Source organism: Homo sapiens, chromosome 15 (assembly GCF_000001405.40).
Source record: "Homo sapiens chromosome 15, GRCh38.p14 Primary Assembly".
Lineage (NCBI taxonomy): Eukaryota > Metazoa > Chordata > Mammalia > Primates > Hominidae > Homo > Homo sapiens.
The window spans coordinates 99,587,204-99,612,907 of NC_000015.10; the positions used below are offsets into that span (position 1 = coordinate 99,587,204).

The 25,704-nt window shown below is 36.3% G+C and overlaps 1 protein-coding gene across 78 annotated transcripts in view; it reads left to right on the top strand.

Annotated features, from left to right (window-relative positions):
* MEF2A (myocyte enhancer factor 2A) overlaps positions 1 to 25,704 on the top strand; it is a 151,072-nt gene that overhangs the window by 21,787 nt on the left and 103,581 nt on the right. For 46 of the 78 annotated variants that reach the window (NM_001400049.1, NM_001400064.1, NM_001400061.1 and 43 more), the window contains one exon: positions 11,227 to 11,308. The exons of 25 other annotated variants lie outside the window; for them this stretch is intronic. The gene's annotated coding sequence lies outside the window, so the exon portion shown is untranslated. Of the gene's footprint in view, positions 1 to 11,177; positions 11,309 to 14,737; positions 14,907 to 25,704 lie in introns of all 78 variants that reach the window. 7 more of the 78 variants (NM_001400057.1, NM_001352615.4, NM_001400063.1 and 4 more) reach the window with 2 other exon arrangements.

The following is a 25,704-nucleotide window of genomic DNA, read 5'->3' on the forward strand; positions in this document are numbered from 1 at the left end:
CCTTGTCCCCCACCCCATGACAGGCCCCGGTGTGTGATGTTCCCCTCCCTGTGTCCATGTGTTCTTACTGTTCAGCTCCCACTTATGAGTGAGAACATGTGGTGTTTGGTTTTCTGCTCTTGTGTTAGTTTGCTGAGAATGATGGTTTCCAGCTTCATCCATGTCCCTGCAAAGGACATGAACTCATCCTTTTTTTATGGCTGCCTTTGTTTCTTTTAAAAATTGTTCTGGCTGTATTATAAATTTTTAGTTTTTTTGTCAATCTTTACAAAAATGCTTTCTGAGATTTTGACTTAGATTGTGTTGAATCTATAGATCATTTTAGGGAGAATCAGTATCACAACAGTATTAACTGAGTGTTCAGCTCCATGAACATGGTATATAATTATTTTTGTATGCCTTCCTTAATTTCTTTCAGCAGTATTTTCTAGTATTCAGAATGTTAGTCTTGCACATGTTGTTAAATTTGTCTTTAAATATTTTCTGCTTTTGAAACTAATATAACATATTTTTACAAAACTTAATTTTACATTTTCATTACAAATATGTAGAAATACAGTTGATGTTTAATAGTGATCTTGTATCCTATACCCTTGCAAACTCCACTTCTTAGTTCCAGTTACTTTATTGTAGTTTTTTTTTGTTTTTTACTGTGTGTGATGTTTGTGAATAGAACCTGTTTTAATTCTTCCTTTCCAATCTGGATGCCTTTTCTTTTTCTTACATTATTCCACTGCTTAGGACCTTCAGTAAAATAGCAATTAAAAATGGTGAGAGTGGACATTCTTGTTTTGTTCCAGTCTTAGAGGGGGCAATTAGTCTTTTACCATTAAGTATGATCTTAGCTGTAGGTTTTCTGTGGATGCTCTTTATAGGTTGAGGAAGTTGCCTTCTTTTTTAGTTTGCTGAGGTGTTTTGTTTTGTTTTGTTTTGAGACAGGGTCTCCTCTGTTGCCCAGGCTGTTGTACAGTGGCACCGTCATGGCTCACTGCAGCCTCGACTGCCTGGGCTCAAGCAATCCTCCTGCCTCAGCCTCCTAAGTATTTGGGACCACAGGCGTGTGCCACCACACTCAGCTAATTTTTTTTTGTTGTTTTTTTCTTTTCTTTTCTTTTTTTGAGAAGGAGTCTCACTGTTGCCCAGGCTGGAGTGCAGTGGCACGATCTTGGCTCACTGCAACCTCTGCTTCCTGGGTTCAAGCAATTCTCCTTCCTCAGCCTCCCGAGTAGCTGGGACTACAGGCACACACCACCATGCCCAGCTAATTTTTGTTTCATATTTTAGCAGACTCAAGGTTTCACCCTGTTGCCCAGGCTGGTCTCGAACTCCTGAGCTCAGGCAATCTGGCCATCTCACCCTCCCAAAGTGCTAGGATTACAGGTGTGAGCCACTGCACCTGGCCTTAATTTTTGTATTTTTTTGTAGAGATGGGGTTTCTCTATGTTGCCCAGGCTGTTCTCAAACCCTGGCCTCAGGCAGTTTTCTTGCCTCAGCCTCCCAAAGTGCTGGAGTTATAGCCGTGAGCCACTGCACCTGGCCAGTTTGCTGAGTTTTTGTTTTTGTTTTTTTTTTTAAATTTTTTCCTGAATGGGTGTTTTGTTATTTCTCTATGTCTATTGGAATTAATCACATGGGTTTTTTTGGCATGTTAATGTAGTGAATTACATTGATTTTTGAATACTGAACCAACCTTGTATTCCTGAGACAAACCCCATCTGTACTGATATTTTCTTTACATATTTTGCTGGATTTGACCTGCTAATATTTTGTTAAGAATGTTTGCCTCTATACCCAAGTGACACTGGTATGAAGTTTCTTTTACTTGTGGTCCTCTTGCCTCATTTTGGTATCAGGGTTATTTATACTGGCCTCCTTAAATGTGTTAGAAAGTGTGTCCTCTCCTTCTGTTTCCTGAAGAGATTGTGTACAGCTGATATTAAATCTTTAGATGATTGAAGAATTCACTAGTGAAACCATCTTGGTTTGGAGTTTTCTTTGTGGAAAGCTTTTAAATTACGAATTTAGTTTATTCGATACAGAATTATTTAGACTTTTCTTTCTGTGTCAGTTTTGATAGTCTGCATGTTCTAAGAAATTTTGTCTACTTAAGTTGTCAGTTTTATTGGCATAAAATCACCCTTAGTATACTTTTAATGTTTGCAGCATTTGTGGTGATGTCCTTTCTTTTATTTCTGATGTTGGTAATTTGTGTCTTTTTTCTTGACCAGCCTAACTAGAAGTTCTTTTCAAATAACCAACTTTAATTGATTTTATCTAGTTTGTCCCACATCTCTGTTACCATTTTCTACTTTTGTTATTCCCTTACCTCTACTTTTAGTTTAATATGCTCCTTTTTTCTAGTGTCTTAGGGTGGAAGTTTGGAACGCTGTTAAACCATTATTTTTTCTTCTAAAATACGCACTTAAAAGCTGTAAATTTCCAAGTACGTATCTTTAGCTTTACCCTATATAATCTAATCATGTTTTTGCCATTTAGTTCAATGTATTTTTAAAATTTTAAATGATTTATTTGATCCATGAGTTATTTAGAAATCTTAATTTCCAAATGTTTGGAAAATGTCCCAAAATAGAAATGTCCCCCCCCAAAAAAGTGTCCTTTTTGTAACTGATCTTTAATTCTTTTGTGGTCAGAAAACAGTTTCTATGTCATTTCAGTTCTTATAAATTCATGTGTCTTGTTTTATGGTCCAGCATATGTTCTTTGTTGTTGATTGTACCAAGACACATGTACATTTTCATGTTTGTTCTTATGTGGTTGGTTGTAGTATTCAGTTAAACCAAGGTGGTTTATAGTGTTGTTCAGGTCTTATACATCTTCACTGATTTTCCATCTACTCATTTTACCAGTTAGTGTGAAGGAAGTATTTAAATCTCCAGCTGTAATTGTAGATATCTATTTCTCCTTTTAGTTCTGTCAGTGTTTGCTTTATGTGTTTTGGAACTTTATCATTGGCTGCATAAATGTTTAGAATTATTTTGTAGTTTTGATAATTTGAGACTGTAAGCATTATGAAACGTATTCCTTCTCCTAAAATCTTCTTTGTCTGATATTAATATAGGCACTGCTGCTTTTAGGATTAATGTTTATATGATATATCCTTTTCTATTTTATGTTTCCTATCTGTGTTAATTTAAAGTGATATCTTATAGACAACATATATATAGTTGGGTCTTGTTTTTTTACTTAATCTGACAATCTCTACTTTTAATCTAGTATGACAGTCTCTACTGTTTAATTGAGGTTTGTAGATAATATATATTTACTGTAATTATTGATATAGTTAGATTTAAGTGTACCATCTTGCCATCTTTGTTTTCTACTTGTCCTATTTTGTGTTTTATTTTCCTCTTTTTATACCTTTTTTGGATTACATATTTTAAAAATATGCATTCCATTTAATCTACTTTCTTGGTTGATTAGTTTTATTTTATGTATTTGGTAGTTGCCGTAGGGTTTTACAACATGAATCTTGAACTTATCGCAATCCACCTTCATCACTTTAGAAATAATGTAAGATCCTTACTGTAGTGCACTTCCAGTTTCCTTCCCTTCATTCTTTTTGCTATTGTCATTGATTTTATTCTACATGTTATTACCATACATTATTACTACTTTTGCTTTAGATAATCAAATATCTTCTTAAAACTTAAATGTCTTATAATTTGTCACGTTTACCATTTGTTACTCTTTCCTTGTGTAGAGCTAGGTTTCTATCTGCTCTTTTAAAAAATTTCATAGACTATATCTTAGAGCAGTTTTAGCTTTACAGAAAAATTGAACAGAAAGTACAGAGTTCATATATACTACCCCAATCCCACCCTTTGCAGGTTCCCTCTTGTATTGGTGTGGTACATTTGTTACAACTGAGGGCTGATACATTATTCTTAGCTGAGTCCATAGTTCACATTAGGGCTCACTCTGTGATGTACAGTTCTACCATTTTTCTGCTTCTTAAAACTCTTCCTTCAGTGTTTCTTGGATTGCAGGCCTCCTGGTAACAGATTGTCTCAGCTTTTGTTTGTTTGAAATGTCTTTATTTCCCCTTTATCGGTGAAGAATATTTCTGCTTTATATAGATTTTAGCTTACAGAGTTTTTTTTTGTCCTTTCTAGCACTTTACAGATGTAATTCCTTTGTTGTAAACTTGTTGCATTACTCTTGACAAGGAGTCTGGTAATTATTATCTTTGTTCCTCTGTGTGTAATGTGTCTTTCCACTTCTTTGGCTTCTTGTAAGATTTTCTCTATATGACTGGATTTCTATTATGTGCCTTGGTGTGGTTTCTTTGTGCTTAATCTGCTTTATGTATGTTGAGTTTCTTGAATATGTGTGTTCAGTTTTCCTCAAATTTGGACCTTTTTCTGGCCCTATTTCGTCATGTATTTTTTGTTTCTCCTTCCTTCTGCAGTTCCAATTACATTATGTTTAGGTTGCCCTTGATCTTCTCACAGGTTCTTCATAATCTGTTTTTGTTTTGTTTTGCTCTTTTTGATGTTTTTACATCTTCAATTTTGTCATCTTCTTTTCTGCAGTTTGATCTACTGTTAATTCCATCCAGTTACTTTTTTGAGATACTGCACTTTTTATGTTTAGAAAATGCATTTTATTCTTTTAAAAATCATTTTCTTTTTTGTTCCTTTAAAAAAATCGTTTAATATATTTATAATATTTTGAAGTTTATGCCTTTAAAGACACCCTGTCTTGCTTCTGGGCTTCTTTCTTTTATCGGATTTCCCCCCTGGTGGTGTGGGTCACACATTTCTTCATTTTCTTACATTTAGTAAGTTTTGATTGACTCCTGGACATTCATCACACTGTTGTCTGGATTTTGTTGATTTCCTCTGAAGAGATTTTAATTTTGTTTTGGCAGACTGATAAATTTCTTGCAGACGTGTATGAACCTTTTGAGCTTGCTTTTACACTTTGTTCTGGCAGATCTAGTGTAGCCTTTACTGTAGGACTAGGTTAGCACGCGGCGGTGCTGCTGCTGCATTTTCTACTGATTGCCCAGGTTTCTCTGGGTGGAACTTGAACATTCTGCAGTCTTATGTAATCTTTGGGAACTTTTTTTTTATTATACTGCTTCCTGATCATTGTTCTTTGCCTGGCCTTGTGAATTTCACTTTATTCATGCACACATTCAATGAAAAACTATAGAGCTGTGTTGTTACATGTGGTATCCATTAGCCATATGTGGCTCTTGAGTGTTTGAATTATGGTTATTCTGAATTTAAATGTGCTGTATGTGCAAAACACACTGTGTTAGTCTGTTTGCATTGCTGTAAGGGAATAACTTAGACTGGATAATTTATAAAGAAAAGAGGCTTATTTTGACTCATAGTTCTGCAGACGTACAAGAAGCATACTGCTGGCATCTGCTTCCAGATGAGTGTGTCAGGAATGTTACAGTCATGGTGAAAGGGAAAAGGGGAGCAAGCTTGTCACATGGTAAGAGGAGAAGCAGGAGAGAGTGGGTGGGGGGAGGTACTACACTCTTGAACAACCAGATCTTGCGTGAACTCAGAGTGAGAACTCACTACCAAGAGGAGGGCACCAAGTCGTTCATGAGACATCTGCTCCCATGACCCAAACACCTCTCACCAAGTCCCACCTCCAACATTAGGGGTTACATTTCAACATGAGATATGGGTGGGGACAGATATCCAAATCATATCACACACACTGAATGTTAGGGATGTAGGTTGGAAAAACATATATGAAAATCTCACTTTTTAAATATCAGTTACATCCTGAAGTGATAATATTATGAGTGTATTGGGTGGTATACAATATTGTATTAAAATTAATTTCACCTTCTTTTTCCTTTACAGTGTAGTTACTAGAAAATTAAAACTTACATTTTAGGTTCATAATATGTTTCTTTTGGGCAGTGCTGCTCTAGAATCCCTCTGCAGATTTCAGGAGCACTTTCTCTCCTGAGTACCATCCTTTTTGCTAATCTGTCGCACAAATTCCCATTACCTCAGACTTCCTGAATTTTTATCTGTCTCTTGTACTCCGTGAGTCTCCGTATTCTTCTTGGCTTCCCTTTTCTGCACTGTCGTCCTGACTGTGCATCCAAGCATTTGTAGAGACACTTTCCCTTTTTCCAGGCCTCACAGTGCGGGGCTGTTCATTGTCTGATGTTTTAAAATTGTAGTTTTATATATTTTATCAGTTTTCTAGTTTAGTTCAATGGGAGAGCATGTCCGATACCAGTTACTACATCATGCCTGGTAGCAAATATCTTAAGGCATGAGGAGTTGGGTGCCCATATGAGTTCACCCTTATTTGGAATTAAAAATACCCGTTGCAACTAATCCTAAATTTTGATTACAAGTGAAATTCATAATTTTGTGAGTTTCATTTTGGATTGACTTTGGAACTGTTTTCATGTAGAAACTTTTGTTTTCTTTGACACTGCATTATGCTCAGTACAGAAGCATCCAGTGAAATTTTGATAGTTTTTGAATGTAAGGTAGTTCAAATAGTTTGAACACTGATTGAAGTCATTTCATTTAACCATTCCTACTAGTATGGAAAATTGGAAGCTGAGTTAAGTTGTACCGTGGTATAAAACATGATATTCAACATTTAAATGTCCTTGATAATGCTTCAAAGGTCTTGTTTCTTTCAGGAGTACCTTCTATTAAAAAAGATGTTTTGTTTTGTTTTTAATCACCTATTTGAGATAGGTAAAAAACAAATTATTTTTTTTTTGTACTCTTTCACACACCACTCACCACAGGATACGTTGCCTTCGGTCACCAAAACGTGTGTGAGGGTTTCCCACTTACCAAGTAGTTCTCCAGTGGACACCAGCTGGATTTCCTATAATTCAGTTCAATTCTGATACTATCTACCTGGAGATGGCATCATATCCTACAGGTTGAGGGCTCAGCCTGACAAGACTGACCCACTTCAGATGCCAACTACAAGTCCCTGGTTGTGATCAGTACTTCTGATCAATTGGCTGTAAATCAGGGGTTCTCACTACCCCTTCTTCTGGTTTGATTAATTTGCTAGAGCAGCTCACAGAACTCAGGGAAACACTTTACTTATGTTTACCCATTTATCATGAAGGATATAGATGAATGACCAGATGGAAGAGATGCATAGGGCAAGGTGTATAGAAAGGGGCACAGAGCTTCCATCCTCTATCTGGTTGTGCTACCGTCTAGGAACCTCCACGTGTTCAGCAATCTGGAAGCACTCCAAACCCTGTCCTTTCTTTCTTTTTTTTTTTTTTTTTTTTTGAAGGGTTTGTTACCTAGGCATGATTGATTACATACATCATTGACCGTTGGTAATCAACTCAACCTTCAGTCTCTCTCCCCTCCCCAGAGGTTGGGAGTTGGGGCTGAAAACATCAACCCTCTGTTCATGCCTAGGTCTTTCTGATGACCAGCACACGTATTGAAGCTACCTAGGGCCCCCTAGTCACTAGTCATTTCACTGGCATGCAAGAGACACTTGCCACTCCAGCAGAAACCAAATATGTATTTCTTATTACATCACATTATTTCTATCTGTGTGATTTGTGTGATATTGTATAATTTTTAGTTCTGGTAATTGTCATATAGAAACTCTAAATATATTTTAAAGGGTGTTATGAAATTATCAGTAATTGTAAATACTTCAAAGCAGGTGTCTGTCTACATGTTCATGGTCTCTATCATATATAGGTATTGATGTACAACGTATATCTGAACCTGCTCAAATGTACTGGTCCTCTGAGACTGAATTTGCTTTGCTGTCTTGAATCTATTGCTATAGTAGGCATTCATTTTTTTTCCACCTCTTTATTCACCAAAAGCATTTACTGAATTGTGGTTATGTATAGCAGTTAAAAGCATTCCTGGATTCTAATCCTGGCTTCACCACTTTACTAGCTGAATACCTTGGGAAGTTGCTTCTTTAGTATTTGCGTTCCCTCTTGAGAATAGTAATGGGGTAATAATGAGGTTGTTGTTGGCATTACATCAGGTAATGACATGTAAAGCAATTAGTATGCTGATTAGCATATGATAAATACTCAAGTATTACTGCTGCTCTTGTAGTTGTTGTTATTATGTTAGGCTTTCCCTGGATGCATTGTCTATAGTTTTAATCTCCTTCCTCTGGCAGTACTTCCTTCCCTGCTTAATTTTTTTTTCTCATTAAGGACTTTTCCACCAACCTACCACCTATATTATATATTCCTTATTCACCTTGTACTATAGGTCTCCCCACTAGAATGTAAGCTCTATGAAGTCAGGAATAGGGATAGGGATTGATTCCTAGCACCTAGAAAAGTGCCTGGAATATGTTGGATGCTTAGTAAAAATTTTCCAAATGAATTATATTGAATCCTGGGCCAGATATTGAGTAGATATTGGGGATATAAAAAGAACAAAGTACAAAGTTCCTTCTTTTAAAAAAGCATATGGTATAATAGAGGAGACTCATACTTGTACAACTAACTACAATAATTTTACCCCCTGGGAGTGATGGTGATAGTTAAGGTGTACTGAAGATGGCGTCACAGAACGCGTCATTGAAGTGTACGTTTGATCTATATAAGAGACACAGGGGAAAGTTATTTCCAGGTGGAGGTAAAAACAAAGTTAAAGAGCTTAACAGTCTCAGCAATGGCTTGTTGTCTAGGTTAACAGTGTGTGTCAACGGGTAGTCGAGGGAGATAGGGATAGCAATTAGAGGACCAGGCTGTCTCCCTTTTAGGTGGGTGGAAGCAACGGGATTTGAAGGCTCAGTGTATGAAATTTGATGATAACTGACTCAGCACTAACATTCTAGTTTAGTTTTTTTTTTTAAAGAGCGTGTCTCATTACAGATTATTGTAAAATAACTATAAAAACTTGATTTTTTACAGTATTGTCTTTTAGAAACTACTTGAAAACTAGGTACAACATACATCATCAGTAACAGTACATTTATATAATTGAGGAATGCATTTTGAGATGAGAATATGTACTGTGATGTGTAACTATCAAATTTGTGTTTAATCACTTGTTTGCCATGGGCCAAATAGCTAAATTTTGGCTTTACTTTGAATGATTGTATTTTAGAAGTTGGTAATGCAACTAAATTTGAGGAATTTTTTTCTGCATTTTAGTACCATTAGATTAAAAGCTGAAATTGGTGTTTTAAAGTAAGCTCCTTTTACCTTTGCAAAAAAAAAAAACTTGTTTATGTGTTTTTATGTCTTTTACAGTTTGGGTTTTTAATACTTAATTTGTTAGTATAAAAAGAATACTTGGCAGTTTGTGTTTTTCCCGCCCCCAGAGGAGGTGTCCGTTTCCAAATAGAAACAAAATCAGGGTCATAATAATTAATACTGCTGAATCAGATTCAAAAGATTGGTGTTTCTGTGGATAAATTACCATTTTCATTTGATGAAATGGATTTACTTGGGGATTGGTTGAATCACCGGATCATGCAATTCTAAATTATTGTGTTAGCATTATAATTGATCCTGGCCAATAGGAGCGAGGAGAGAGATAGCTTTCCTTTTTCTACCTGAATGTCCTGCTCTATCTTCAAGCAAGAATGTAGCAGGGCTGGATTATTGTTTGTGCACCTAATCCATTGAGCAGTGTTCACTAGTTGTTGCGAGAAGTCAGGGACCCCAAACGGAGGGACTGGCTGAAGCCATGGCAGAAGAACGTGGATTGTGAAGATTTCATGGACATTTGTTAGTTCCCCAAATTAATACTTTTGTAATTTCTTATGCCTGTCTTTACTTCAGTCTCTTAATCCTGTCAGCTGAGGAGGATTATATCATCTCAGGACCCTGTAATAATTGCATTAACTGCACAAATTATACAGCATGTGTGTTTGAGCAGTATGAAATGTGGGCACCTTGAAAAAAAGAACAGGATAACAGCAATGTTTAGGCAGCAAGAGAGATAACCTTAAACTCTGACTGCCGGTGAGCCGGGTGGAACAGAGCCATATTTCTCTTCTTTCAAAAGCAAATGGGAGAAATATCGCTGAATTCTTTTTCTCAGCATGGAACATCCCTGAGAAAGAGAATGCGCACCTGGGGGTGGGTCTCTGAACTGGCCCCCCGGGTGTGGTCGTCTCTTATGGTCAAGACTGCAGAGGTGAAATAGACTCCAGTCTCCCATAGCGCTCCCAGGCTCATTAGGAAGAGGAAATTCCCGCCTAATAAATTTTGGTCAGAGACCAGTTGATCTCAAAACCCTGTCTCCTGATAAGATGTTATCAGTGACAATGGTGCCCGAAACTTCATTAGCAATTTTAATTTCACCTCGGTCCTGTGGTCCTGTGGTCCTGTGATCTCGTGATCTCGCCCTGCCTCCACTTGCCTTGTCATATTCTATTACCTTGTAAAGTACTTGATGTCTGTGACCCACACCTATTCGCACACTCCCTCCCCTTTTGAAACTCCCTAATAAAAACTTGCTGGTTTTTGTGGCTTGGGGGGCATCACGGAACCTACCGACATGTGATGTCTCCCCTGGACGCCCAGCTTTAAAATTTCTCTCTTTTGTACTCTGTCCCTTTATTTCTCAAGCTGGCCGACGCTTAAGGAAAATAGAAAAGAACCTACATGAATATTGGGGCAGATTCCCCGATAACTAGTGTTCCTTTATTAATGTGAATCATAGACAGCCATCAGTCTTCTATTCATTTTTGTAGTTTTGTGTTAATTTCATTGTTCCCTTTAAAATATAGCTAGCTAGTGAAAATTACAAATATACACATTGTATTGAAATACAGGTATATTTTATGGTGATAACAATTATTTCACAATTTTCTTGATGAAAACAATATGGTGAACATTTTAAACTATTTAAAACAAGTTTAGTTTATTGAAACTAGTAAGTTCAATAGGCTATACGCACAGTACAGATAAATATAAAGCATAACATGATACAGAGGATAGGAAAATGGGACCTAGGAAACCAATTTTTGAATCTCGCGATGCAAAGAATATTACTGAACATTTGAGTAATACTTCCTGAAGAAAAAGGATTCGTAATAGTAGAGATACTCAGTTGGCTGACGTTTTGTTTTATTCCAAATAAATGACTTTTTAAAATTTAATTTTCATTTAACAGTATTTGTGGAGCTTTCTGCTAGGAATGGTGTTGAGTGCTAGAATTTTGTATAATGTATATTTAATTCAGCTTTGGAGTCAAGAACAATAATGCATCTCAAATTTTTTTCTTTTTTAAGGAATTGCATTTTGTGAAAAAAGAACAAGAATTTTCTGCAAGGATCATATCTAAGTGCACTTTTTGCTGATACTTCATTTCTAGTAAGACATTTTTTCTTTTCTATGTTAAGTAGATACAATGGAAATGTATTTTAAAAATCAGGCTGTTCTTGTGAGATTGAATGGCAGTTATTTTAGAGGTTTTCTTGGGGGCGAGGGGGGCTTAATTTAGACCCAGTTGAGGAAATTTGTAAAATTCGGTTGAAATGCGTAATATTGTGTAGTGGCAGTTTCTCTTATATTTTGTCTGACGCTGCTGAAATCATCTCATATTTTTTCATCTTTCACACTTCTTCCATATTCTCTATCAGTTAACCTCTATTTGAAGAAAGAAGAAAAAAAATTAAGTAGGTAGTTGGTAGTTACTGAGACAGTTAATAGGATGAAGGGAGAGTTGGGGGACATGAGTTACATGAGCTGAGGAAAGATTTTCAAGTGAAAGATGACATGCATGTCTAGCCATATCTCATGAAGCATGGGAAAGGTCAAATAGAAAAAGCAAATTTTAGGGGATCTTTTAAAAATGTGGACATTTTTAATGACTTGGAATTTACTGCCTTAAATTAATGGGTTCATATTTGCAAAGCTCAGGAGGAGACTATTTTGATTAAAAAACTTACATTGGCCTAGGTTAACATTCACAGTATCTCAGTAAGATGTGTAGTCCTCAAAAGTTTTCATATGTGTAGTCCTCAAAAGTTTTCATGAGTGAAACCTTACCTGAATTCCACCTTCTACTTAAAATGGAAAAGAAGTGAATTATATTAATGCTAGAATATTTTAAAATAAGTAATTTTGAAAAATGTTAGGGGATATTCTGCAGTGTGTTATAATAAGTTAACATTAGCATTTTAAATATTAGATATCATTGATCCAGGCTGATGATTATGTCAGTAAAAATCTTGGAAAAGGTATCTTAAAAATTTTTATTTTGCCCATTTCAGGAATACTTTTGCTACTTAACATAGGTCTAAATTTTTTTTCTTGAATGATTAAATAGTAGAAAGAAATCACATTTTACAAACTTAGAAAAATGAGTTCTTTGTTGAAGTATGATATTCTGACATCAGTTTCATATGGTTATATATTTTTCTTGTTATAACTTGACTGAAGAACAGCCCATTTAATGATTGATAATCTTTAGTTTAGGAGACTAGGAGAAAAAGGCCTGTTTATCCAACTGATGCAAAGTACCTTCAGTTTAAAACTTGTGTATGTGTAGGTGGGATGGGAACAGTGGAGTTTAATTCTCATTTTAAAATATAAACCTTGGTTAGTCTTCTGTAAATCTTTTTCTTTTCTCATCATTACAGTTGGCCCTCTCTACCCATAGGTTCCTCATCTGTGGATCAACCAACTGTGGATTAAAAAATACCCTATACTTCAAAACAATAAAAAATAATACACCAATAAAAAATTTTACATTGCATTAGATATTATAAATATTCTAGAGATGATTCAAAATATAGGAGGATTTATGTAGGTTGTATGCAAATACTGCACCATTTTTATATAAGAGACTTGAGTGTCCTAGGATTTTGGTATCCATGGAGGATCCTGGAACCAATTTCCCACTCCACAGATACTAAGCAAGGATTTTACTTAAATTTCTCACCTGTTTGTTTTGTTCATTAACTGCTGGAAACTGAGTGATATGAGCTAAAGCACTCATGCCCTTAGCTGAGAACTCTGTACTTTCTCTGAACCTCAGTGATGGCTGTGGGTATAACTTCAGATGTTATATTTTGAGTCATGTTTAGATTTTAGGGAATTCTCTATGCTGCTTCCTCTACTAGTCTCTAAGGATGTAGACAGTGTCTTATCCTTCATGACGGGCCTTCTATGGTTCTATGGGTTGTGCCTGAGTTAATAACTACTTGTTTAGGAGTTACTCTTGAGTGTTTAGATTGGAAATGTCCTTTCTTTTTGAATAGATTCGTATGTTAACTGGCGAAGCTCAGATTAGAGATTTTCTTTACAATTCTGCTGCAGTAGAAATTGAAGGTTTGTCATAGGGATTAGACAGAATTTCTCCTGGCTTTCCTTCATGTCTTGGAACTTCTTTGGACTACTACATTGAGGTCAGTGATCCATTTTGAATTAATTTTTGTATATGGTGTGAGGTAAGGGTTGAAGTTTATTTCTTTGAATATAGATATCATATTGTTCCAGCAGTTTTTTTGAAAACATTATATTTTCCCCTGTTGAATTATCATGGCACCATTGTTGAACATTAATTGGCCATTATGTGTGGGTCTGTTTCAGGACTCTGTTCTGCTGATCTATATATCCTTATGACAGTGCTTCACTGTCTTGATTACTGAAGCTTTTATAGTAAATCTTAAAATCTGGTAATGTAAATCCTCTAAGTTTGTTCTTCTGTTTCAAAGTTGTTTCTTCTATTCTGGATCCTTTTTATTTCTTTCTATGTAGTTTAGAATCAGCTTCTTAATTTCTACAAAAAAAGCCTAACAGGATCTTGATTATGAATGTTTTTACCCTAGAGATCAATTTGGGAGAATTGACCTCTTAAGGATATTGAATCTTATTAATGCGTGAGCTTGGTACCTCTATTCATTTAAGTCATCTTTACTTTTTCTCAGCAGTGTCTTGTAGTTTTCAGTGCAGTGGTCTGACACATAGTTTGTTAAATTCATCTCTAATTATTTTAACTTTGTTATTATAAATGGGAATTTAAAAGAATATCAGTTTCCAATTGATTGATGCTAGTCTACAGAGATAGAATTGATTTTTATATAAAACTTTATAATTTGTAATATTGCTAAATTAATTATTAGTGCTAGTGGCTTTTTTGTAGATTTCTTCAAATCATCTGTGTAGATCATTATCTTCTCTGTGAATAAAGACTATCTTATTTCCTCCATTTAAATTTATGCACCTTTTATTACTTTTGCTTGCTCTATTAGACTGGTTAGTAGTCCCAGTGCAATGTTGAATAGAAGTGGTGAGAACTAACATCCTTGCCTTGCTTCTGATCTTAGGTGGAAAACTTTGAGTTTTTCACCAGGTCTTGGTCAGAGTTTTTTTTTTTTTTTTTTTCGTTTTCACGAGTAGGTGTTGAATTTTGGCCAAATGTTTTTTCTGCATCTATTAATATGGTCACCTACCTCCCCTCCTGTTTGTCTGTGCATATGGTCAGTTACATTGATTGATTTTAAATATTGAACCAACCATTCATGTATTCTTAGGATAATTATCACTTGGTCATGATGTGTTATACTTTTTGTGTATTGCTGGATTCACTTGCTAAAATTGCGTTGACTCTTTTAAAAAGTCTACATTCATAGAAGGCATTGGATTGTAGTTTTTGTCTGTTTTGTGTGTGTGTGTGTGTGTGTGTGTGTGTGTGTGTGTGTGTGTGTGTGTGTCAGGGTAATGCTGGTCTCAGAATGAGTTAAAATTTCTTGTTCTTGAAGAATTTGCATAGAATTGATGTTATTTCTTCTTTAGGTGTTTGGTAGAATTCACCAATGAAGACCTCTGGACCTGGAGGTTCTTTGTGGGAAGGTTTTAAACTGTTACCAGCGGTGAATCTGCATGGGTCTACGGCAACCTCAGTTCTTGCCCTCTCAGAAGAAAGAATTCAACTGAGGGGTATAAGGCAGAAGGAGAGACCGAGGCAAGTTTTAGAGCAGGAGTGAAAGTTTATTAAAAAGCTTTAGAGCAGGAATGAAAGGAAGTAAAGAACACTTGGAAGAGGGCCAAGTGGGCAGCGTGAGAGATCAGTGCGTGGTTTGACCTTTGACTCAGGGTTTTATATGTTGGCATACTTCTGGGGTCTTGTGTCCCTTCTGCCCTGATTCTTCCCTTGGGGTGGGCTGTCTGCATTCACAGTGGCCTAGCACTTGGGAGGGGAGCCTGTGCAGTGTGTTTACTGAAGTCGTATGTATGCTTCCTTGAGGTATTCTTCCCTTAACAGTCCAATGTCCCTAGGAAGTCATATACCAGTTAAACGCTACCATTTTGCCTCTTAATGCGCATGCTGGAGCCCATATGTCCAACTCCTGAGATGTTATAGGGAAGCGGCTGATCACCAGCTTCAGGTGTTTTCTATCTGTTGGGAGACTGCCTTTCACTGGCTTGGGCCGCGACCAATTATCATTTTAGAGAGACAGTTTAACAACTGCCTGACCGTCACCTGGTGGTTGCCTGACATTCCTGGGGTGTGTGTGTGTGTGTGTGTGTGTGTGTGTGTGTGTGTGTGTGTGTAGGGGTGGGGAGCTTTTTGTGTGTGTGTGTGGGGGGGTGGGGGTGGGGAGCTTTTCGTGTGTGTGTGTGTGTGTGTGTGTGTGTGTGTGTGTGTGTGTGTAGGGGTGGGGAGCTTTTCCTGCCCTGCTCATGTCTGACTAGCTACCTACTGTAACAAAACTATGAATTTGGTTTCCTTAACTGATACAGGGCTATTTGGATTTATGTTAATTCTTGTTAAATAAGCTTTAGTTGTTTGTTTTTCAAGGAATTTGTCTATTTTATGTAAGTTGTCTAATTTATTGGCACGAAGTTGTATTTTAGAATCCCTATTCTTTTACATTTGAAGAATCTGTAGTGATATTCCCTCTTTCGTTGCTGATATTTGCAAACTTCCTTCTTTTTCTAAAAGAGTATTTAATCTTTTAATTTTCCTTTGTTTGCATCCTACAATGTTAGTAATGTTGTGTGTTCATTTACATGGAGTTCAGAGTATTTTAAAATTTCCATTGTGATTTTTTTTCCTTGACCCACGTCATTTTCAAATATTTGGTTAATTTTCCAGATTTCTTTCTCTTACAGGTTTCTAATTTAATTCTACTGTTGTCCAAGAACATACTTTGTGTGATGTAAGTTCTTGTCAACTTGTGGAGATTTATTATAAGACACAGTTGTGGTGGTCTGTGTTAGTAAAATTTTTTTTTTTTTTTTTCAAAGACAGTCTCACTCTGTTACCAAGGCTGGAGTGCAGTGGCGTGATCTTGCCTCACTACAACCTCCACCTCCTGGCTACAAGCAATCCTGTGACCTCAGCCTCCTGATTAGCTGGGACTGTAGGCATGCAGCCATCACACCTGGCTGATTTTGTGTGTGTGTGTGTGTGTGTGTGTGTGTGTGTGTTTGGTAGAGATGGGGTTTTGCCATGTTGGCCAGGCTGGTCTCGAACTGCTGACCTCAAGTGATCTGTCTGCCTTAGCCTCCCAAAGTGCTGGGATTACAGGTGTGAGCCACCATGCCCAGCCAGTGTTAGTAAATGTTTTGTGTGTACTTAAGAAGAATGTGTTGAGTGGAGTTTTCTAAAAATGTTAACTAGGTCACATTGGTTGATAGTGTTCTTTTAAGACTTCTGTGTCCCTTTTGATTTTCTGTTTGTTTCAATAATTTCTGAAAGAGAAGTGTTCAATATTCAACTTCAATTGTGGATTTATTTTTCCTTTTACTGGTTCATGTGTTTGGAGGCTCTGTTACTAGGTGCATGCGTAATAAGGGTTTTTATGTTTTCTTGATGAATTAGGTCTTTGTCACTATTAAATTTTGTGAAATAGTTTGTGAAATAGTTTGCATAGTTTCTGACAAAAAGTCTGCTGTTCTTACCTTTTGTTCCCAGTATGTAAGTTTTCTATTTTCTTTGGCTACTCTTAAGACTTTATTACTAGGTTTTAGTCATTTGATTATGATGGGCCTTGTATGGTTTTCTTTGCAATAATGCTGCCTAGATTTTTTAGTTTATTGTTTAAAACCAAATTTGGAAATGTTTCACCACTATTTCTTCAAATATCCCACTTACTCCAGGTTTTTGTTTTTGTTTCCCCTGTAATTTTAGTTATATATTTGAAATATTGTCTCTCTTGGCACTGATACTGCTTTTGTTTTTCATTCTTTTCTTTCTGTCTGTGCTTTATTGGTTGGTTAACAGTACCATGCCTTCAAGTTCACTGATCTTTTCTTCTGCATTGAATAATCCCATCCAGGGTGTTTTTAATTTCTGAAAATCATTTTTCATTTCTGGAAGTTTTATTTCTTCCATTATTCTCTTCATGTTCTTATTTTTCTTTGTCTTCTGTAACATACTAAGTTTATTTATAATCTTTTTTTAATGCCCTTGTCAGTTCTGTTAACTTTATCATTTTTGAATCTCTTCATATTGATTGACTTTTATTATATGGGCCACATTTTTTTGCCTCTTCTCATTCCCTATAATGTTTGGATGCTGGATGTTGTGGTTTGACATTGTTGGGCTTAGGGGTTTTGTTTTTTTTTTTTGGTATCTTCTATATAGTGTTGGACTTTGTTTTTGTACGTGTATAAGTTAGTATCAGCTGAATCTTTTTGTTTAAGCTTGTCAGTGTTGGTCCAGAGAAGCCTTTTCCGTGGGGTTAATTTACTGCCCATTAAGGTTATATCCTTTTGAGGGCTATACTCCATGCTCTTCTGAGGATTATTCTCAATTCAAAGTAATCCCAAACAATATTCCAAAAATTTTGTTAGTTTATCTGCTTTTGTTGGAGACAGAGTCTTGCTCTGTCGCTCATCCTGGAGTACAGTGGTGTGAGCTCTGCTCACTGCAACCTCCACCTCCCAGGTTCAAGCTGTTCTCTTGCCTCATCCTCCCAAGCAGCTGGGACTACAGTCACGCATCACCACACCCAGCTATTTTTTTTGTATTTTTAGTAGCGACGGGGTTTTGCCATGCTGGCCAGGCTGGTCTCGAACTCCTGGCCTCAAGTGATCTGGCTGCTTCAGTCTCCCAAAGTGCTGGAATTATAGGTGTGAGCTGCTGCGTCCTGCCTCTCTTCCACTTTTAAAGATGTGTTCACTTTGAGCCAACCCAGATAATCCAAATTAATTTACCTATTTTAAGGACAAATGATTACCAACTTTAATTCCATCTGCAACCTTAATTCTCCTTTTCCATGTAATGTAACATATTCACAGGTTCTGGCAATTTAGGATGTGGTTTTCTTTCCTGCATAATTATTCTGCCTATCACAACTTCCAAAGTTGAACTATATTGTGCAAGGTGGACATCCAAGCTACCAACAATGTTGAAAGCTTAGATTTGTTCAACACATTTACAGACGTTACATTCTTCTTTATGCCTGAAAGGTAGACCTTATACATAAAGCATGAACAAGTAAATTGGTATGCTTTTTTGTAGGATTCTTGGCTCAGGGCCCAAGGAGCTTTACAGTACTTTTTAGATTTTAGATTTAAAAAAAAAAAAAAAGGGGCTGGGTGCAGTGGCTCGTGTCTGTAATGCCAGCACCTTGGGAGGCCAAAGGTGGGTGGATCACCTGAGCCTAGGAGTTCAAGACCAGCTTGGGCAACACAGCAAAACCCTGTCTCTACAAAAAATACAAAATTAGCCAGGCATGGTGACGCATGCCTGTAGTCGCAGCCACTCAGCAGGCTTAGGCAGGAGGATCACTTGAGACCGGGAGGCAGAGGTTGCAGTGAGCCGAGATCATGCCCTGTGTTGGATTTTAAAGGAAATTTTGTGGCCCAAGAATAGCTAAAGTAGTCTTGAAAGAAGATCAGAGTGGAAGAACTTTCTCTATTAAAAACTTATATAAATCTACAGTCACTGATTTCATGAAATAAAGCCACAAGGATAAACAAAAGAAATTAAATGCCTGGAAAAGGGTTCACATGTACACGGACACTTGCTTTATGACAAAACGCACACTTTAGTAGGGAAAGAATTAGTCAATAAATCGTCCTGGAACAAGTGATAATCTGTATGGAAAGAAATGACTTATGTTCCATACCATATGCAAACATCAGTTTAAGAATGATTCGTATATTTCAACATGAAAGACAAAACTGAAACTTTTGGAAGCTAATATAGATGAACAGGTTCATGCTCTTTGGCCAGGAAAATATTTCTTAAAAAAAAAATCAAAACGGCAAGTATTAAAAAATTGATAATTTTGACTACCTTAAAATTAAGAAATTTTGTTCTTGCAAAGTCACCATTAAGAAAAGAGAGGCAAGTCAGAGTAGAGAAGATATCTGCAGTACCTTTAACAGACAAAAGACATGTATCAGAATATTCAAAGCGCTTCTACAAATCAATGTGACAGAGACAATCCAATAGAAAAATGGGCAAGAGACATGAAAAATACTTCACAAAAGAAATTCAGATATTTAAGAAACGTGGAAAAAAAAGTGCTTAACCTTATTAATAATCTGGGAAATGCGAATTAAAAAAAACTAGGCTCCACCATATGCCCACTAGAATGGCTGAAATTTTAAAAAGGGATTTATAGTACAAGTTTTTGAGAGGATGTTAGGTTATGGGAACTCAGCCACTTTAAGAAACATCTTGACATTTACATACCCTGTGATGCATTAATTTCTTTTCATGGGTATACACTTGAGTAATACATGTACATGTGTGTGGAGGGATGTGTTAAAGAACGTTGGTAGCTGTTTGTAATAGCCTCACACTCAATATGATGTTCATCATAGTTGGCTACATAAATAAACTCATGATACATTCATACAGTGGAGTACTTTACAGCTGTAAAAATGGAATAACTATAGCTATGGATAAATATCACAAGATGTTTCTCAAATGAAGCCAGAAATCACACATTATGTGTGATTCCACGTATATAAAGTAAAAACAAAACATGCAAAAATAAAACAGGTAAAATAAGCTATGATGATTAGGGATATGTGCTTATGCCATGAAACGGAAAATGAATAACAGCAACAACAACCACAAAAGAGAGTTGCTACCACAATAATCAGGAAAATTGTTGACTTCTAGGTGTGGTGGAGGAGGGATTTAATGATTGTTGAATAGTGGGTGATTTTAGGAGTGCTCATATTCTCTTAGATCTGAATTGTAACTTGAGTTTGTAATCAGTCCTTGAATTGTGAATTTTTGTTTTATGTATTTTTACATCTCTGATATATACTCAAAATCATATTTGACTGAATAAATATTGATAAGGTTAGACTTAGAGCACATTTATCAGGTTTGATTCAGATGATATGAGGTTAAAAGGTTTTAATATATTTGATATTTGAATCATGATGTAGAGAACCGAGATTATTTCTAGTAATGATAATTCATCTTTTTGTATGATTTAATTATTTGTAAAACATTTTTTCCCCCAGTAGTTATGACATCCTGAGAAGTATTTGAGATAGGCATAAGTATCTGCATTTTACAAATGAGGGAGCATTAATTATGAGAGTGAGTTGTTGGTGGTAGAGGATTAGAATCTCATTTTCATTTCTATGCCTTGCCTTGCTGTATCCTTTATTTCTCTTTTGTGTCCCATGTGAAGACAGGACGTTGTTCTTTATGTTGGTGTAATTAATCTGAGGATGAAAGAGCATGGATGGAGGGGCTCTCCTCTTAACAGGGCAGTTTACAAAGTCTCCTTTCTAATGATTTTCGTAATACTATGCTTATCTCTAAGGAGTTCAAGGTGCCCTGTGATTATATCATCAGTTCTTATAATTTCCTGTAGGAGTTTTGAGCCATAGTCTTGCTGTGCTTTGTAGAAATGAATTGAGGTAGTAGAAGACATGAATCACCGAAAATCAAATTATAATTCATTGATACATTTGATATTTTATAGACTGGTCATCCAGATAAAAATTTTGAAGTTAGTAGTTTGGATGATTTACCATGATCAACTAATGGTTTATGTAGTTTTAAAATAATCATATGTCCTGTTTAAGGAAGCCCAACTTAAAAAAACTTTGAACTTCAGCAGTTAAGTGAAGGGAGTGATTATTGACATTACAAAAAAAAATTACTTACAGCTTTAATCAAATTTAGTTAATTTCACTGTGAATGTAAGGTACTTGCACTATATTTGCTATTCATTGTATAAAACATGTTGCATATTTCACTAATAGTAACAGGCTGTAAACAGTTTACCCTTAAGCTTCTTTTATTTTTCAACATTCAGCTTTGAATGTCTCTAATCTAAAAACACTGTGTGGAAGCATACAAAAATATATAACTTGTTATTAATCAGAGAAATCCAAATTAAAATAGAAAGATGCCATCTTTCAAACCATGTTTTAGATTTTTAGATGATTTCTCCCCTCCTCCCATCCTGTTTTTGTTTTGGTGTATTGACTATTTTACCTAAAACATAAGAAGTAAACACATGATAAAAAGTAATACTTTGGGCGAGCGTGGTGGCTCACGCCTGTAATGTCAGCATTTTGGGAGGCCGAGGTGGGTGGATCACCTGAGGTCAGGAGTTTGAGACCCAGCCTGGCCAACATGGTGAAACCCCATCTCTACTAAAAATACAAAAAGTTAGCTGGGCGTGATGGCAGGCGTCTGTAATCCCAGCTACATGGGAGGCTGAGGCAGGGTAATCACTTGAACCCGAGATGTGGAGGTTGCAGTGAGTTGAGATCGTGCCATTGGACTCCAGCCTGGGTAATAAGAGTGAAACTCCGTCTCAAAAAAAAAAAAGAAGGTGCTATTTTGTTGTTCTGATTTTAGGCAAAGGTACCAGTATTCAGTATTTCAGTTGTCTTAACTTTTCTAACAAGTAGATAGTTTAGAGGTATCATAGCTAGACCACAGCTAGTCTTTGCAAAGTTGGAAAAGGCCCCTCTGATTTTAAGTAAATAGTGGCTTCTGCTACAGTTAAGGTGCTAGACAGTGGAAGACAAGTTGGCTTTCAGACCCCACCTGCTCACTCTTGGCCCCAGGCCCATGTGCATGGCATGACATTGTTCATAATGGCTTTGGGTCATAGTGATTTCTTGCTCTCTTCTAGTTAGTAAGGGATTATTTTTCTCAATGCTGTGTGTATTTTTGTATGTTTATTGATCTTATTTCTTGAATCAGATGTTAGTATTTTTGAATTTTACCTAAAAATGTATAATAACCTAATTTAATTCAGAACTTCATAAAATTAGTGTGAGTATTTGTAGGGTATGTTCTGCCTTTATGAAAGTTACATAAAGCCAAACTGCACTTTCAGGTAATGACCATAAGTCTATGAGATTTATATTCAAAGTACAGTTTATGTTTTTGTTATCGAATCCTTTCTTTATGGCTGTGATTGTGTTTGTACGACATAATGTTGTATTTTAAAAACATATGATAATATAGCATGTACAATTGAGGCTCAAATGGAATACCTTAGTCATTTTCCATAAAATAATAGCTTATGATAGTCTCAGGCTAATTTAGAATTTGAATTTTGCCTGGATTTAATTGTAAACATTAATTAAAACATCTTAGTTTAGTGGGAACAAAGAAAAATTATCTTATATTAAAAGTAATTAGAAAATAATTCCATAAGGGTAAAGAATCTGCCATTGTGTTACAAATTATAGAATAATTCTCCTCAAGCTTGACAAAGAGAGTATACAGTATGAGTGGGTTTTTATTTATATATTTTATAAGAAAATATATGGCATCATTTTTGTGTGTGGAATGTAGTTGCCTTGTCTTATATTAAAACTGGGATTAAAATTAATTGGCATTTCTTGATTCTGGTTTTTCACCATCTTTTAGCAAAGTAGACAGCCACTTGGGTTTCTTACTTAGATCAATTTTTTTTCATTCTAGTGGATACTATTTAGAGGACCCAGGGTATCATATTTAAATACAGTAAAAATTTTAAATTAACCATCTTTTATATTACTGGAAGCATTTGAAATCAAGAATCGTATAGAGCACTGGCAGTGAACAATCCAAAAATGAAATTATGAAAATTATATTTATAGTATTATCAAAATAATACAGTTCTTAGGAATAAATTTCACAAAAGACACAGAGCACCTGTACACTGAAAACTACAAAGTATCATTGACAGAAATTAAAGAAGACCTAAATAAATGCAAAGACGGTACCATCTTTATTGATTGGCAGATTTAATCTTGTTAAGATTATAGTCATCCCAAATTAATCAACATATTTAACACAATTCCTATCAAAGTCCAGCTGGTCTCCCCCGCCCCCCCCCCCCCCCACCCCCCCCCGAAATTGACAAACTGATCCTAAAACTCATACGGAAATTGAAGATACTTAGAATAGCCAAAACAATCTTTAAAAAGGATAAAGTTGGAGGCCTCCCACTTTTGAATTTGAGAATTTACTACAAAGCTACTGTAACCTAGACAGTATGTTACTGGCATAAGGATAAACAGATCAATGGGACAGAATTAAGAGTCTAGAAATAAACCCATGCATTTATGGCCAATTGATTTTTTTTAATTATTATTTTTTTTCACAATGATGCCAAGACAGTTCAATGGAGGGAAATAGCCTTTTTAACAAATGGTGTTCAGACCTCTAACACTATATACAAGAATTGGCTCAAAGTGGATCAAGTACTTAATGTAAGAGCTAAAACTATATAGGCTAAGTCTTCATGATCCTGAATTTGGCAATGGTTTCTTAGAAATAACATCAGAAGTAGAAATAACCAAAGAGGAAATAGGTAAATTGGACTTCAGCAAAATTAAAAACATTTTGCTTCTAGGGACACTATCAAGGAAATGAGGCCGGGTGCGTTGGCTCATGCCTATAATCCCAGCACTTCGGGAGGCCGAGGTGGGTGGATCACTTGAGGTCAGGAGTTCGAGACCAACTTGGCCAACATGGTGAAACCCCATCCCTACTAAAAATACAGAAATTAGCCAGGCGTGATGGCAGGGACTTGTAATCCCAGCTACTCAGGAGGCTGAGACAGGAGCATCACTTGAACCTGGGAGGTGGAGGTTGCAGTGAGCTGAGAATGTGCCACTGGACTCCAGCCTGGATGACAGAACGAGACTCTGTCTCAAAAACAAAACAAAACAAAACTTGATGAGTGGGAGAAGGTATTTACAGATCATATATTTGTAAGTGTTAGTATCCAGAATATATGAACTCTTACATCGCAACAATGAAAAGACAGTAACCCAACTTCAAAAAGGATTTTCTCCGAAGAAGATAAATAAATGACCAATAGGCACATGAAAAGATGCTTAATGTTATAGTTGTTAGGGAAATGCAGAATTAAAACCACAGCAAGATACCACTTCACACCCACCATGATGGCATAATAAAAAAAGACAGAAAATAAGTGTTGGAGAGAATGTGGAGAAATTAGTATCCTCATACTTTGCTGGTGGTAATGTGAAATGCTTCAGACTCCTTAGAGAGTAGTCTGGCAGTTCCTCCAAAAGTTAAATGTTGTTACCATATGACCCAGCAGTTCTGCTCCTAGCGATATATCTGGTAGAATTGAAAGTATATGTCTGCACAAAAACTTGTACACCGTTATTCATAGCAGCATTATTTATAATAGTCAAAGTGGAATCAACTCAGATGTCTATCACCTGATGAATGGGTAAATGAAATGTGGTGTATCCATACAGTACAATATTATTCAGCCAAAAAAGGATGAAGTACTGATTAATGTTATAACCCAGATGAACCTTGAAAACATCATGTTAAGTGAGAGAAGCCAGACACAGAAAGCTACAGATTGTATAATTGTATATTTCCAGAATAGGCAAATTCCATAGAGACAGAAAGTAGATGAGTATTTGCTGGGGACTAGGGAGAGGAAGGAGTGGGGAATGCCTGCTAATGAGTATCAAATTTCTTTTTGGGATGATAAAAATGTTCTATAATTAGATAGTGGTAATAGTTGCACTGCTTTGTGAATACGATTTTTAGAAAAACACCGGGCCGGGGGCAGTGGCTCACACCTGTAATCCTAGCACTTTGGGAGGCCGAGATGGGTGGATCATGAGGTCAGGAGATCGAGACTATCCTGGCTAACAGGGTGAAACCCTGTTTCTACTAAAAACTACAAAAAAATTAGCTGGGCGCGGTGGTGGGCGTCTGTAGACCCAGCTACTTGAGAGGCTGAGGCAGGAGAATGGCATGAACCCGGGAGGCGGAGCTTGCAGTAAGCCGAGATCACACCACTCACTCCAGTCTGGATGACAGAGTGAGACTCTGTCTCAAAAAAACAAACAAAACACTGAATTATTCACTTTTAAAAGGTGAGTTTTGCGGTATATGAATACCATTCACATACCATATTTAAACTCAATTTAAAAATCATATAGAATTGAAGACACCACCCTGAACAACACAGTGAGACCCCATTTCTTCAAAAAACTTTTTTTAAAAATTAGCAGAGTCAGGGCAAAGGAGAGGAGCTGAGATGAGAGGGTTCCTTGAGCCTAGGAGGTTGAACTATGATTGTGCTACTGCGTTCCAATCTGGGTAACTGAGTGGAAACCCTGTCTTTAAAAAATAAATAAAGGAAAACAGTGGTGTACTTCTAATAAACTGCTATCAAACCTGGATACTTTTGACAGTGAGGGGTCTTACTTAATAGTTACACCTGTCTCAGGTAAACCAGAATGTATGTTCTCCCTACTTTGGTGTGTTGAAACTATTTTTCCTTCAGAAATGTGAAGAATATAAAATTCTTCTCATATTCTTCTTT